Source organism: Homo sapiens, chromosome 12 (genome assembly GCF_000001405.40).
Source record: "Homo sapiens chromosome 12, GRCh38.p14 Primary Assembly".
Classification (NCBI taxonomy): domain Eukaryota; kingdom Metazoa; phylum Chordata; class Mammalia; order Primates; family Hominidae; genus Homo; species Homo sapiens.
In genome coordinates this window covers 11,088,760-11,105,371 of record NC_000012.12, presented here as the reverse complement: position 1 = coordinate 11,105,371, position 16,612 = coordinate 11,088,760, and the positions used below count along the sequence as shown (strand labels likewise).

Genomic DNA, 16,612 nt, shown 5'->3' with positions numbered 1-16,612 from the left:
AAGGTCAAGACCTTAAAGGAAATCTTGACCAGTGATATCAGGCTTGCCTTTAAAAAAATTCAGACATGATAAATTTACTACCAATCATTTTTTCATCAACAATAATATATTTATATTTTCCCATGGACACCTACATTAAACTTATAGACTCTTTTTATTTTTCAACTTTTTTTCTTTGAGTCCTTTTAAGAGTTGTTAAACAATCCTGAAATTTCCCTTACTGTATGCTGTTAACTAATTATATTTTTTCAAAGTCATCTGACACAATGATTGATTAAAGGAAGTATCTCCAGTATAATTACAGTTACTTATAACAAGAGTATTTGAAATTTGAAGAAAAAGGTTAGACAATTTATAATGAAATATAAATAAATATGTATAATATATAAGGCATTATTAATAAGTGTATATGAAATAGTCATAGAATGAAAAAGATTAATGTAATTCATTGAAGTAAACATACATTCTGAATAAGAATAGAAAAGGACTTGGAAAATATTGTTTAATAATATTTTATATAAATACAAAAATGTATATATTAGCCCAACATTATTTATTTTGGAAAGGATATGACACAATGGGAATTTTCATACACTACTCCTAGAATTATAAATCTGTGCCATCATTTCGGCTGAGTATGGCATTATCTCATTAAGGTGAAGGATCATATCCTAAGATCAAGTATTTACACTCTTATCAGAATACATATACATACACATGCATATCACTGAGTTTTAATAGCTAAAGTTGAGAAGTCCTCCAAATGTCTCAGTCCTCCAAATGGATAAAGAAATTGTGGCATACTTATACAGTGGAATACTATACAGTGATCAAAATTAACAAACAAGACTGACATGTTTACAACAGAATAATACAACAAAGAAAATGAACAAATTTGAGCTACATAGATAATAATACAGATGTGAGAGGAATTATCAAGATGGAAAAATACATTTACTGTAATCTCATTGACGTAAAGTTTGAAAAACTTTATTTTTAATACATTGTCATTCATTACATTGGTGATAAAACCCTACAGTGAAACATATGAGTGATCATCATATGAGTGATCATCATAACAATTTGGGATAGTCAGAAGGGAGGAAAATATCAACAAGAAGACATATATCGGGAGTATCTGGATTGCTAGCAAATTCTATTTTCTTCCTTTTTTTTTTTTTTTTTTTTTTACTCTTTCATTTGGATCTTATCTGTGCGAAGTATCTTTGACTGTGTTGGTCACCGTTGAATCAAATATCTAAATAAAGTGAATCTGGAACATCCTAGTGTCCACATCAAAAGCACTCAATGAAGTTGGATGGGGGAGTGGTAGTGGTGGTACAGCAACAGGGTAGCCTAGTTAGGTTGCACAAGCCCATCTAAACACGTGTGATTATCTGATTAGAACCAGGAAACTGGTTACTAGAAAAAGTAATTTAGTGAACTGTAGAAAGAAAATATTACATATTGAAGCACCTCACAATGACTTAACACCAATTTTATTTGAGGAATTTCTTTAGGTGTTAAAATACAATAAACAGCCACAGTAACAGTAATGCCACTAACATTCTTGAGCATTTATTGTGTGCTTAGAAATTTGTGTATGAATTCATTTAATATAGTCCTATGGCTTAACACGAGATTTTGTTCATTTTTTTTATATTTTATTTATTTATTTATTTTTATTTTACTTTAAGTTCTAGGGTACATGTGCACAATGTGCAGGTTTGTTACATATGGATACATGTGCTTGTTGGTGTGCTGCACCCATTAACTCGTCATTTACATTAGGTATATCTCCTAATGCTATCCCTCCCTCCTCCCCCCACCCCACAACAGGCCCCAGAGTGTGATGTTCCCCACCCTGTATCCAAGTGTTCTCGTTGTTCAGTTCCCACCTATGAGTGAGAACACGTGGAGTTTGGTTTTCTGTCCTTGCGATAGTTTGCTCAGAATGATGGTTTCTAGCTTCATCCACGTCCCTACAAGGGACGTGAACTCATCATTTTTTATGGCTGCATAGTATTCCATGGTGTATATGTGCCACATTTTCTTTATCCAGTCTATCATTGATGGGCATTTGGGTTGGTTCCAAGTCTTTGCTATTGTGAATAGTGCTGCAATAAACATATGTGCATGTGTCTTTATAGCAGCATGATTTATAATCCTTCGTTTATATATCCAGTAATGGGATGGCTGGGTCAAATGGCATTTCTAGTTCTATATCCCTGAGGAATCGCCACACTGTCTTCCACAATGTTTGAACTAGTTTACAGTCTCACCAGTAGTGTAAATTGTTCCTATTTCTCCACATCCTCTCCAGCACCTGTTGTTTCCTGACTTTTTAATGATTGCCATTCTAACTGGTGTGAGATAGTATCTCATTGTGGTTTTGATTTGCATTTCTCTGATGGCCAGCGATGATGAGCATTTTTTCGTGTGTCTTTTAGCTGCATAAATGTATTCTTTTGAGAAGTGTCTGTTCATATCCTTCACCCACTTGTTGATGGGGTTGTTTGATTTTTTTCTTGTAAATTTGTTTAAGTTCTTTGTAGATTCTGGATATTAGCCCTTTGTCAGATGGGTAGATTGTAAAAATTTTCTCCTTCTGTAGGTTGCCTGTTCACTGTGACAGTAGTTTCTTTTGCTGTGCAGAAGCTCTTTATTTTAATTAGATCCCATTTGTCAATTTTGGCTTTTGTTGCCATTGCTTTTGGTGTTTTAGCCATGAAGTCCTTGCCCATGCCTGTGTCCTGAATGGTATTGCCTAGGTTTACTTCTAGGGTTTTTATGGTTTTAGGTCCAACATTTAAGTCTTTAATCCATCCTGAATTAATTTTTGTATAAGGTGTAAGGAATGGATCCAGTTTCAGCTTTCTACATATGGCTAGCCAGTTTTCCAGCACCATTTATTAAATAGGGAATCCTTTCCCCATTTCTTGTTTTTGTCAGGTTTGCCAAAGATCAGATGGTTGTAGATGTGTCATATTATTTGTGAGGGCTCTGTTCTGTTCCATTGGTCTATATCTCTGTTTTGGTACCAGCACCATGCTGTTTTGGTTACTATAGCCTTGTAGTATAGTTTGAAGTCAGGTAGCGTGATGCCTCCACCTTTGTTCTTTTGGCTTAGGATTGTCTTGGCAATGCAGGCTCTTTTTTGGTTCCATATGAACTTTAAAGTAGTTTTTTTCCAATTCTGTGAAGAAAGTCATTGTTAGCTTGATGGGGATGGCATTGAATCTATAAATTACCTTGGGAAGTATGGCCATTTTCATGATATTGATTCTTCCTATCCATGAGCATGGAATGTTCTTCCATTTGTTTGTATCCTCTTTTATTTCATTGAGCAGTGGTTTGTAGTTCTTGAAGATTTCCTTCACATCCCTTGTAAGTTGGATTCTTAGGTATTTTATTCTCTTTGAAGCAATTGTGAATGGGAGTTCACTCATGATTTGGCTCTCTGTTTGTCTGTTATTGGTGTATAAGAATGTTTGTGATTTTTGCACATTGATTTTGTATCCTGAGACTTTGCTGAAGTTGCTTATCAGCTTAAGGAGATTTTGGGCAGAGAAGATTAGGTTTTCTAAATATACAATGGCAAATTCTATTTTCTTACCAAGGTATGGTAACATCAATTTTAACCTTATAATTTTTTATCTTACTGTTTATTAGTTGTTATTACTCTGTATCTGTATGTTTTGCTCCACAATAAAAAATGTTAAAAAAGCAGAAACCTAAAGTACATTTCTAAGTGTAAAATTAGGGTGATGCAGCATATTCTTATAGATATCATTGTAATTAGAGTTTTTGCTGAATAAAGAATAGAGGATTATGGTACTAAGAAATCCAAGTTAAAATTTAAAACTTTTCTATTTTTATTTTGAGACAGGATCTGACTCTGTTGTCCAGGCTGGAGTGCACAAGAACAATCTTGGCTCAATGCAGCCTCTGTCACCTTGGCTCAAGTGATTCTCCCATCTTAGCCTCCAGAGTAGCTAGGACAACAGGCGTGCACCACTACGCCCTGCTAATTTTTTCTATTTTTTTGTAGAGACATGGTTTTTCCATGTTGCCCAGGCAGGTCTTGAACTCCTGTGCTTAGGCAATCCACCTGCCTCAGCCTCCCAAATGATGGGATTACAGGTGTGAGCCACCACACCTGGCCCAAAACATTACTTAAATTAATTCACACAAAAGAAGAGATAGGCAAGAATTGTTAATCCACTTTCTTAGTGCTAATATGAATTTGAAACATCAAAATTTGAATATCCATGATTGATAGACACCTTTTTTCTTATTTCCAATTTAATTATTTTTGATACACATTTGAAAGTGTAAGAAATTCAGGAATTTACAATAAATTATAGTACGATGGATATTAAATATATTAAATTAAATGTATTAAAAATGTGTCTCTAAATGAAATATTTATATTCACATTGTTAGCATTCTAATTTCACTATACTATTCCTGTGTACACCAGTGTGTTGGGTAAAATTTTTTGTTACTATAAATTTTTTGGCTGTCCATTAGAGAAAAAAATCATAGAAAGGCAAATTTTTTAAGGTATAAAAAATAATTTAGCCTGATCTTTGAGTATGTTTGTGCACATATAATGCTACTTTGACTGCTGTAGTAAAATAATCCAGATTTAGTCACCATAGCTAAGAATGAGAAAAAGCATTTGTGATAGTTTGCTGAGAATGCCGTCATTTTTTGATAAAGTTTTAAGTACTGTTTTACTATTTGATGTTTTAAAGATTGTTAAAAACTAAGAAGTGTTGATTTCTGCTAATAAAAACAGCTTAAAATTTAAATCATGGAATAGAATGGTGGAGCTGTGGTGGAGATACTTTGTCTTATTAATTGAAATGACATTTTGAGATCCAGTGCTGCTCACTGAATTTCCCTGTGAGGAGAGTTTGTGGTGATGACCCCACAACAGACAAGCTACTATCCAAAAAAACTCCTCACATCAAATCAATTTCCAGTTTCTTCCAAGTTGCAGGAGGATGCCTAGACCTTGGTTTTATTCTCTTCTTTGACCAAAGTATTACAAAAGGAAGAAAATCATTACCATTTTCATGTCAGGAGGGTGGCATGGAGATGGACTTAGCCTATTTTCAGTGTTCCATCTCTTGCCCTTTATAAGGGTTAGTTGACTGTTTATGATGCATTCCGGTATTTCCCATTTTTGTTTTGGTTCATTTCTAAGTGTGCATTATAATTTTAATATTAAAGTTTTTGATTAGGAGAAATGTCTCATAGAAATTATTATTACTCATCTGATTATATACTGAAGGGAAAAATCAATTAGTTGTATATACATTCTTATACAACTCTAAGATAGTTGAAATAGGAACTTTCTTATTTAGTTGCATCATGAGGAAATTTGAGATGATGTTATCTGCCAAGCGCAGATCTCTCCAAAGGATTTCTTCTAGCCTTAATTATCCACCTCACAGGACAAACCTTTGCCATTCCCCATCTACTTTTTCTTTCGGCTCCTCAATTCCTGACACAACAAAGTTGTACATATTTCCCACACTCTTGGTTTAGCAGAGTTCTTTTATCAGTTATGTTTTTCTGCAAGAGAAGACCCTCTAAAACATTAGACATATATATCTCACATGTCTTTGGATTTCATTTGTGTGTGTGTGTGTTTTCTGTTTTTTGAGATGGAGTCTCACTCTGTTGCCCAGGCTGGAGTGCAGTGGCACTATCTTGGCTCACTGCAACCTCCACCTCCAGGGTTCAAGCGATTCTCCTGCCTCACCCTTCTGAGTAGATGGGACTACAGGCACACTCCACTGAGCCCACCTAATTTTTGTATTTTTAGTAGAGATGGGGTTTCACCATGTTGGCCAGGATGGTCTCAATCTCTTGACCTCGTGATCTGCCCTCCTCAGCCTCCTCCACACCTGGCCTGGATTTCATTTTTCTAAGCTGGGTTTGATGGATGGCTCTGGTGATTTGAGATGGGCCAAATTCGGCATCTTGGAGATAGAGTTTGGCCAATTTAGTCTGGATCAGGTGGGGGCAATCTGACTTCATTACTTTCTCATTCTCCTTCTGGGAACAGTGTACTTGCGAGGCGATATTCTCATGGTAAATGGAAAGAGGAAGAATCCCCAGTATGGAAGCCATCTCAAATCTCTATGCAAAGTGTAGTAATTTTCTGTTTATCAAAGTAAGTTAAATGATTGAACTCCAAGTTCAGGGGAAAGGTAGTCAGTCTTCCTGTGATAGGAGGATACTGCAAGATGATATACCAAAGGGTCGGGTACTCAGGAATTCTTATAAAATGGCTAAATATTTTATATAATAATAAATATTTAAACATTAGACTTGAGAGAAACTTTACCAAAGGCCTAAGAATTAGAGATATGTTTGATAAATAAATATTATTCTTGGGCTGAAAACTCTTGAGTGGGAAAATAGGGCTAATTTCATCTGGACAACTTCTTGGAAACTCATTTTTTATTTTGGAAATTTTGAGAAAATAATTTGTTCCATTCATAAGTGGTGTGCACATGCGTGTATTTGTGTTCATATTTATGAGCTTGTGAATAATGAAGTTATACAAAAGTATTAGCAGCAACCAAATCTTATGGAGTATTGGCCTGCCTGTGGTTCTCAAGAAAATCTTAGATGCTTTTGATAAAAGCAGTTTGGATTCTGTGTATACAAATCTGGCATTTTAAAAAGTCCATATTGGTAATGATCTTAGTTGTGACCAAGCTCCCTTTAAGACTTTAGACATTTGCTATATGATCTATGTATTGGGTTATAAAACTTCCCAAACAACTGAAGTTGCTAAACACAAATGATGGAGAGGTTACACAAAGAAAAATTGCAAACTCTGAAAGAGAGTACGTTCTTATTTGTGTACTAGCAAATGAGGATTCAGGTTTCCAGTCAATTTCAGTATGAATAATTCCAGCCTGTAACAAGAACAAACAGTGAATGAATGAGTTAATTTGAGTTGTTTGAAAATAAGAATGTTTTCCATAAAGAGATCATTGAACTCATTAGTTAACACGCCATGGTGATTTCTGGCTTGACACTGGTCACAACATTTAAAAGTAAAAAGAATGACCCAGCAGATTTACAAATTAGGTGCATATAGAATTTAAGGTCAGGATATTCAAGCAATCACAACCAGTGATATTACATTGAGAGGTGAAGCCAGCTGGACTTCCTGGGTGGAGTGGAGATTTGCAAGAATTTGGCTTGCTAATGATGCTATTAAAAGATAAACTAAAGTTGATATACTGTATTATTGCATAGACTATTTGTCCATGTTAGTGTTCAAAAATGCCAAAAAAAATCCCAAAATAGAATCCTAATTGTTGGAGGTCGTGTTTCTTATCGAATTTTAAAATGTAGTAAAAGAAAAAAAAGCAAATAAATCGTTGAAAATATGTTGGTTTTACATTATTCTTGATGAAATACCATGTGAGGGTACTTGTCTAGGCCTAATGCTGAGAATCATAGAAGAATCGTGAGGCCATGAGGAAGAATAATAGTGTTCTCTCATCACGCTGAGCTCCAGTACTTAGAAACAAGCCTGAAATCACATTTACCAAATAGCATTCTCCCTTTCACCTGCCATCATCATTCTCTTCATCATCTATATCTTCATCTATCTCATGAAATGATTTGTTTTTGAAATATTTAAATACATAATTTGGAAAATAAGTAATTTTAAAAAGATCATCATTGTGGGAAAGTTACAATAGTAAACAGCAAAGTTCAAGTCAAGCTCCAATACATTTAGATTTAGAAATTAAGTGTAGTTTATTTTACAGTACATTGCTTAAGCAAATAATTATTTATGGATGACCGTCAGTGAATCCTCCTTTCACTATGCTCATGATAGAAACAATTTAATTTTCGTGTAAATAAAATTCCTTAATAAGAAAGATACAGCAAATAACACATTTTTTGAGCACGCTTTTATTTCTAAAGAGCGGATTTTAGGACCAAACTGTCAAACAGAGGTAAGACCCCAGATCTTCTGTCACACTTGAGTGAGTGATGATGGAGTTAGAAGGTTGTAGTTCTATAACCAAAACTATATTCATGGATAGGATTAAATGGTGGAATTCCACAGAAGCACCAGATTCAGTTTTGTTTCCATGGGACTTAAAGTCTACTTATATCAGATGTCCTTCATTTGTTGATAAACTCGTAAGTAATGTTTTACTATTTGATATTTTAATGATTGTTATAAACTAAGAAATTTTGATTTTTGCTAATTAAAACAGCATAGGGCAGGCGCGGTGGCTCACGCCTGTAATCCCAGCACTTTGGGAGGCCTAGGTGGGCGGATCATCAGGTCAGGAGATCCAGACCATACTGGGGAACACGGTGAAACCCCGTCTCTACTAAAAATACGAAAAAATTAGCCGAGCGTGGTGGTGGGTGCCTGTAGTCCCAGCTACTTGGGAGGCTGGGGCAGGAGAATGGCGTGAACCCCGGGGACAGAGCTTGCAGTGAGCCGAGATCGCGCCGCTGCACTCCAGCCTGGGAGACAACGAGACTCCGTCTCAAAAACAACAACAACAACAACAAAAAAAACAAAAACCGCATAAAATTTAAATAATGGAATAGAATGATGGAGCTGTGGTTGAGATTCTATATGTAATTAATGACATTTTGAGATCCAGTGCTGCTCATTGAATTTCCCTGTGAAAAGAGTTTGTGGTGATGACCCAGCAACAGATAAGCTACTATCCAAAAAAAGCTATTGACATGAAATCAATTTCCAGTTTTTTCCGAGTTTCATGAGGCTGCCTAGATCCTGCTTTTACTCTCTTCTTTGACCAAAGTATTACAAAAATAAAAATATCATTACCATTTTCATGTCAGGTATACTAAAAGTTTAAAAAAACTTTTTTTAATAACTTGATTTTAGGAATATTGGTTTAGTTTCTCCGTTAGAAAACGATTTATATAAGGAGAACAAAAAGTTCATTTCTACCTCTAAAACAATAAGACAAAAAAAAGGGTCATCAATTTTGAGAATCCAATAGCGTTAACAACCAGTTAAACATAAGAAAGAATTAGTGAATTGGAAGATAACTACCCAGAATGAAGCATAAAGAGATCAAGAGGTAGAAAATATAAGGCTAGAGGGCCACAGACAGTGAAGCTACAATCAGAACAACTAACATACTTCTGCAGTTCCAGAAGATTAGAAGAGAGCAAATGGGGCAGAAGCAATGTGGAGATTTTTCCAAAAGTGATAAAGTATATCAGTTCATATATTTTTAGAAACTATCAGACTTCAGACACGATAACTAAAACCAAATTAACATAAAATGACAGGACATCAAAGACCAATAGAAAACCTGAAAAGTAACTAGAGGAAAAGATAGATTATGTTAAAGGGAATAACTGTCTAAACGACAAGCTGATTTTCAACAGACAAAAATAAAGCTAGAGTTCAATGGATTCATGTCTTCAGTGTATTTCAAAAGTAGAATAGATCTTGATAAACAGAAATTTAAAATATATCTTTTCAGATAAAAGAAAAATTATTATTATTATTATTTTTGTTGGTAGAGTTGGATTCTCACTCTGTTGTCCACGCTGGAGTTCAGTGGTAGGATCATGGCTTACTGCAGTCTGGAACTCCTGGGCTCAAACCATCCTCCCACCTCAGCCTTGTGAGTAGCTTCACTATGCCTGACTAACTTTTTCATTCATTGTAGAGGCAGTTTTGCTGTGTTGCACAGGCTGGTCTTGAACTCCTGGGTGCTCCTGCCCCAGCCTTACAAAATGTTGGGATTATGGGTGTGAGCTACCCTGCCTGGCCAATAAAGGGTCTTATTGAAAATATTAAGTTGAATATGCAAGAAGGAATACAAATTAATGAAAGTGGTAAATATGTGCATAATTCTAAATGAATGTTTAGAAAATAATAATGTCTTGTTGGGGTAATTATACAATTGATAAGACATATGCAAATGGCAAAAAATAGAATGGAGGTAAAGGTGACAGGAGTAAGTTTAGTTAAATTATTTTCTGAACTTTTCTATGTCTATGAGGAGATTTTGAACAATGATAATATAATTCTACTCATAGGTATATATGCAAAGGAATTGTATCAAATGATATATGAAAGAATGTTCTAGTAGAATTATTCATAACTGTTCAAAAAAGAAACTGGCCAAATACATATTAAGGTTGGATGAATCATTACAGTAATTCCATGCAATGGAACAATATAGAGAAGTGAAAAAAAATCACATGTGCTTGCAACTATGTGACTAAATTTCAGAAACATAATGTTGAGTTCAGGAAGCCACAAACAAGAGGAACATGTAGGATTGCACCTATACAGCGTTCAAAGTAGGCTAGACCAAGCGATGGAGTTTAGGGTTGCATACCTAGTTGGTAAAGTATGAAGAAAATTGAGGAAATAACCATTATAAATTATGGATATTGCTTATATCAGGAGATGCGAAGAAGGGTTTAGGGACTTGGAAAGTGGAATGGAGGTGGATCTAGCCTGTTTTAGGTGTTCCTTGTCTTGCCCTTCATCATAGTTACTTGAGTGTTTATGATACACTGTGGAATTTCCCAGTTTTGTATTGGTTCATTTCTAAGTGCGCATTATAACTTTAATATACAAATTTGTAATTAGGAGAAATATAGAAATTATTATTACTCATCTCATTATATACCGAAGGGAAATATCAAATATTTGTATACATTCTTACACAATTCTAAGATAGTTGAAATAGGAACTTTCTTATTTAGTTGCAACATAAGAAAATTTGAGATGATGTTATCTGCCACCCCCAGATCTTTCCAAAGGATTTCTTCTAGCCTTAATTATCCATCTCACAGGACAAACCTTTGCCATTCCCCATCTATTTTTTCTTTTGGCTCCTGAATTCCTGACACAACAAGGATGTACATATTTCCCACACTCTTGGTTTAGCAGAGTTCTTTTATCAGTTATGTTTTTGTGCAGGAGAAAACCCTCCAAACCTACATTAGATATTTATATCTCACATGTCGTTTGACGTCGGGTTTTTTTTTTTTTTTTTTTTTTTTTTGACAGAGTCTTGGTCTGTCACTCAGGCTGGGGTGCAGTGGCGTGATCTCAGTTTACTGCAACCTCCGCCTCCGGGGTTCACGCCATTCTCCTGCCTCAGCCTCCTGAGTAGCTGGGGCTACAGGCCCACACCACCATGCCCTGCTAATTTTTGTATTTTTAGTAGAGACGGGGTTTCACCATGTTGGCCAGGATGGTCTCCATCTCTTGACCTCATAATCTGCCTTCCTCAGCCTTGCCTGCACTGGACCTGGATTTTATTTTTCTAAGCCAGGTTTGGTGGATGGCTGTCGTGATTTGAGATGGGCCAAATTCTGCATCTTGGAGGACGTTAGAGTTTTGCCAATTTAGTCTGGATCAGGTGGCGGCAATCTGACTTCAATAGTTTCTCATTCTTCTTCTGGGAACAGTGTACTAGCCAGGCGATATTCTCATGGTAAATGGAAAGAGGAAGAATCCCCAGTATGGAAGCCATCTCAAATCTCTATGGAAAGAGGAAGAATCCCCAGTATGGAAGCCATCTCAAATCTCTATGCAAACTGTAGTAATTTTTTGTTTATCAAAATAAGTGAAATGATTGAATTCCAAGTTCAGGGGTAAGGTAGTCAGTCTTCCTGTGATAGGAGGATACTGCAGGATTCTATATCAAAGGGTCTGGTACTCAGGAATTGTTATAAAATTGCTAAATATTTTGTATAATAATAAATATTTAAACATTAGACTTGAGACGAACTTTACCAAGTCCTAAGAATTAGAGATATGTTTGATAAATAAATATTATTCATGGGCTGAAAACCCGGGAAAATAGGACTAATTTCATCTGCACAGCCTCTTGGAAACTCATTTTTTATTTTGGAAATTACAAGAAAATAATTTGTTCCATTCATAAGTGGTGTGCACGTGTGTATTTGTGTGCATATTTATGAGTTTGTGAATAATGAAGTTATACGAAAGTATTAGCAGCAACCAGATCTTATGGAGGATTGGCCTGCCTGTGGTTCTCAAGAAAATCTGAGATGCCTTTGATAAAAGCAGTTAGGATTCTGTGTATTTAAATCTGTGATTTAAAAAAGTCCGCATTGGTGATGATCTTAGTTATGACCAAGCTCCCTTTGAGAATTTAGACATTTACTGGATGATATATATATTAAGTTACAAAACTTCCCTAACAACTGAAGTCACTAAAGATAAATGATGGAGAGTTTACACAAGGAAAAATTGCAAACACTGAAAGTGAATATGTCCCTATTTGCATACTAGCAAATGAGGATTCAGGTCTCACGTCAATTTCAGTGTGAATAATTCCAGCCTATAACAAGAACAGACAGTGAATGAATGAGTTAATTTGAGTTGTTTGAAAATAGGAATGTTTTCCATAAAGAGATCATTGAACTCATCAGTTAACATGCCATGGTTATTTCTGGCTTGACACTGGTCACAACAATTAAAAGTAAAAAGAATGTCACAGCACATTCACAAATCAGGTGCATATAGAATTTAAGGTCAGGATATTCAAGCAATCACACCCAGTTTTATTAGATTGAGAGATGAAGCCAGCTATACTTCCTGAATCTTGTGGGGACTTGGAGAACGTTTCTGAAGCTAGCAAGGGGATTGTAAAATGCACCAATCAGCGCACTGTAAAACCACAGCAATCAGCGCTCTGTAGCTAGCAAGAGGATTGTAAAATGCACCAATCGCTCTAAAATGCACCAATCAACAGGATCCTAAAAGTAGCCAGTCGGAGGGAGGATTGATAAAAGGGCACTCTGATAGGACAAAAAAGGAAAATGGGAGGGGACAAATAAGGGAATAAAAGCTCATGGCTTCAGCCAGCCGCGGCAACCTACCTGGGTTGCCTTTCACTCTGTGGAAGCTTTGTCCTTTCTCTCTTCTCAATAAACCTTGCTGTTGCTCACTCTTTGGGTCCACACCATCTTTAAGAGCAGCAACACTCACCGTGAAGGTCAGTGGCTCCCTTTTGAAGTCAGCGAGACCACGAACCCACCTGCAGGAACCAATTCCGGACACAACACCAGCATTTAAAAAAATTTTTTTTGTCTGTTCAGACATGATAACTTTTCTACCCATCATTTTTTCCAGTCTGGTAGTGGTTACATTTGTTATTGGAAATTTTGCTAATGGCTTCATAGCACTGGTAAATTCCATTGAGTGGTTCAAGAGACAAAAGATCTCCTTTGCTGACCAAATTCTCACTGCTCTGGCGGTCTCCAGAGTTGGTTTGCTCTGGGTATTATTATTAAACTGGTATTCAACTGTGTTGAATCCAGCTTTTAATAGTGTAGAAGTAAGAACTACTGCTTATAATATCTGGGCAGTGATCAACCATTTCAGCAACTGGCTTGCTACTACCCTCAGCATATTTTATTTGCTCAAGATTGCCAATTTCTCCAACTTTATTTTTCTTCACTTAAAGAGGAGAGTTAAGAGTGTCATTCTGGTGATGTTGTTGGGGCCTTTGCTATTTTTGGCTTGTCATCTTTTTGTGATAAACATGAATGAGATTGTGCGGACAAAAGAATTTGAAGGAAACATGACTTGGAAGATCAAATTGAAGAGTGCAATGTACTTTTCAAATATGACTGTAACCATGGTAGCAAACTTAGTACCCTTCACTCTGACCCTACTATCTTTTATGCTGTTAATCTGTTCTTTGTGTAAACATCTCAAGAAGATGCAGCTCCATGGTAAAGGATCTCAAGATCCCAGCACCAAGGTCCACATAAAAGCTTTGCAAACTGTGATCTCCTTCCTCTTGTTATGTGCCATTTACTTTCTGTCCATAATGATATCAGTTTGGAGTTTTGGAAGTCTGGAAAACAAACCTGTCTTCATGTTCTGCAAAGCTATTAGATTCAGCTATCCTTCAATCCACCCATTCATCCTGATTTGGGGAAACAAGAAGCTAAAGCAGACTTTTCTTTCAGTTTTTTGGCAAATGAGGTACTGGGTGAAAGGAGAGAAGACTTCATCTCCATAGATTCACGAGAGGGGCATTGTGTATCTTCTAGCAGGAAACAAACTGGTGGTGTATGAAACATTTTATATTTCTTACTGGTTTTTCTATACTGTATGTGTATGAATAATTTCCAAACGTATACCTAGAAAAGTCTTTGACCCAATGGCAGTCTAGAAAATATATATATATATATATATATATATATGTGTGTGTGTGTGTGTGTATTTGTGTATGAAAACTTAACATTGACAACAACATGCTCTTTTCTGTTTTTTCATACAAACTGCCAAATTATACAAAATATGACAAAAACTTCTTAGAATTTTGAAGCCATGTTTATTTCATTCATGTATTTTTTATTTCATTTGTAGAATTTGCAATGTCTATTTATAATTATTAAGAAGTAAGAGCTTATCCCCGGAAAAATATTGCTCTTTTCTATTGTTATTTGAACCACAGGAATATACCACATTGTGCTTAGAATTCATTGCTTGAACCTCAAATTTATTGGATGGTAAGGTCATTCAATTCTAAATCAATAATGAGGATGTATCCTCGGTGTTTTATTCCATTATGAATTTCTATTTTATGTTTAGTAAAAAGCAATGAGAATTATTGTTAGAAAACAATGCACACAATAGAATTTGAGTGAGAAGCATATGCAGAGTAAATTTAATGTATGTCTACCATAAGCGGTACTGAGGAATATTAGATTTCATATGTGAATAGCTTAGGAAAAAATTCCTTCTCTAATAAAGGGATGAAACATCATGATCATGATCTTGATTGGTATCATCAGTTATGCATATGCAGTTAGAAACGTCATTTCTTCCGCTTTTGAATTAAAGAAAATCTGTTTTTGAAGTTGAGATCTCATGTAAATTATTTTAGTATTCTTTCTAAAGCACTTTTAAGCCCCTGATTTGCTAATTATATCCTTACCTTCCGTTTGTAAAATTCCTTCTAAACTTCAGATAAGAGAACTCAAATCCTCTCTTTTTGAAAAATAAAATCAATGTAAATATAGTATAGAAATTGTGGAAAATATTTCAGTCAAACTTTTTGTAAATGTTAAAATAGTATCTGTGAACCCTATGTATTAATTATGGGATGAGCCGTAACTTTGTAATTTTGTCATCAATGATGAAATGAAAGGGTGTTGACATATTCTTTAATAGGAAGTTCTATTATAAGAAAGAAATGTACAGTCCTGTTCACAGCTAAATTCTATTACGTTCATTAATACTTTAATGAACAAATAAATGGGTGGCTAAAATGGGTAAGCTGATGTGGTAAACCAATGAAAAGGAAACTCATCACAAAATCTGCAGTTGCATGAATTCCCCTGTTCCGGTCTCAGGTTAAGATTACAGGCTTATCCAAGCAGAATCCTTCCTCTAAGGAAAAGTTTGGCTATTCCACAATTTTAGGGGAAATATCACAATAATATAGTCTTGATGCAGCTGTATCAGGTGTCTGAGTTGGAGACAAGGTAGAACATCAAAATTAGATGGCACCTATTACAATAGTTTGAAAAATCATATAAACAACTTTGGTCTATTTGAATTTTTTTTCTATTGTGAATTATATATTTGTATTATGATATTTTCTAGTTGACTATTTAAATAAAATGGCATTTCATTTCAAAAAATTGAGTTAGTAACCAGCTACTTTACCAAAATGTTTTTAATGTAATACCTGTTATTAAAGTGCTAACATTTATTTAGAAGTCAAATTCAAGACAAAAATGGCAAGGACGTGTGGAAATTGAGACAGGAAGAAATGTGAAACAATGTGTGGTGATGTCTGGTATGGCTCTGCTGGCAGCCACTTCACAGTGAGGTGAGAGAGACAGCATGACGGTCATCAGATGCGTGTACTTGGCTTCCAGCACTTTTTCCAGAAGGGCTACAGGGGGAAACCACAGCTGGCATTAGTCCGTGGAAGTGAGAGAGGAGGGAGAATGTATCTGCTCGGCTGTCATTAGTCTTCTATTTCTTATTGGTCAGGGTTTCCTTGAGGCAGAACTATCATCTCTGTTGTTCTGTCTTCCATCATCCAGTCCCTTGGTGGTGGTCATGAAAGTCATACCTTATGCCCACAGTGTGGTGATGCATTCAAGTCCCAAATGGAATGATGACCTGGATCGGGCAAGGTACTAGCCAGGGGAATAGGACATAGTGAAGGGAATCTAAGAAAGCACATGTTTGTGTCCAATACCATCACTCCTTGTGCCACTGAGGCGTGCTCATACCCTCCAGTCATGGCTGGCTTTATGAGCATATGACGTCCACAGTTGCATAGGGTTTTGTGCTTATAGGGACTTGTGTTTAGAGGGACTCTATGCTTGGATTAATGTTCTCCACTTGCTGTTTTGTTTTTCACACAGAGGATACTCCTCTGCTGAAGAGGGAATGTTCTTGCACTAATTCCATAGGGATTTGCTCTCCTGTCTCCTACAGGCTTGTCAGAGACATGCACAGAGTCCTATAATGACCACTATGTATGTTTCTAGCATCTTTGAATCCTGCTGGATCATCTGGCACAGTGGCCAGAGCAGC

The 16,612-nt window shown here is 35.8% G+C and overlaps 3 protein-coding genes and 1 long non-coding RNA gene across 6 annotated transcripts in view; all 4 read left to right on the top strand.

Moving 5' to 3' along the window:
* Positions 1-16,612, top strand: part of PRH1-PRR4 (PRH1-PRR4 readthrough) — a 325,777-nt gene that overhangs the window by 66,254 nt on the left and 242,911 nt on the right. The window lies entirely within an intron of this gene.
* PRH1 (proline rich protein HaeIII subfamily 1) overlaps positions 1-16,612 on the top strand; it is a 290,647-nt gene that overhangs the window by 66,240 nt on the left and 207,795 nt on the right. The window lies entirely within an intron of this gene.
* PRH1-TAS2R14 (PRH1-TAS2R14 readthrough) overlaps positions 1-16,612 on the top strand; it is a 234,202-nt gene that overhangs the window by 66,240 nt on the left and 151,350 nt on the right. The gene's annotated exons all lie outside the window — the stretch shown is intronic.
* Positions 13,059-14,085, top strand: TAS2R43 (taste 2 receptor member 43). The gene has a single exon (NM_176884.2). The coding sequence runs from the start codon at positions 13,143-13,145 to the stop codon at positions 14,070-14,072; it is 930 nt and encodes a 309-aa protein (NP_795365.2). The 5' UTR covers positions 13,059-13,142; the 3' UTR covers positions 14,073-14,085.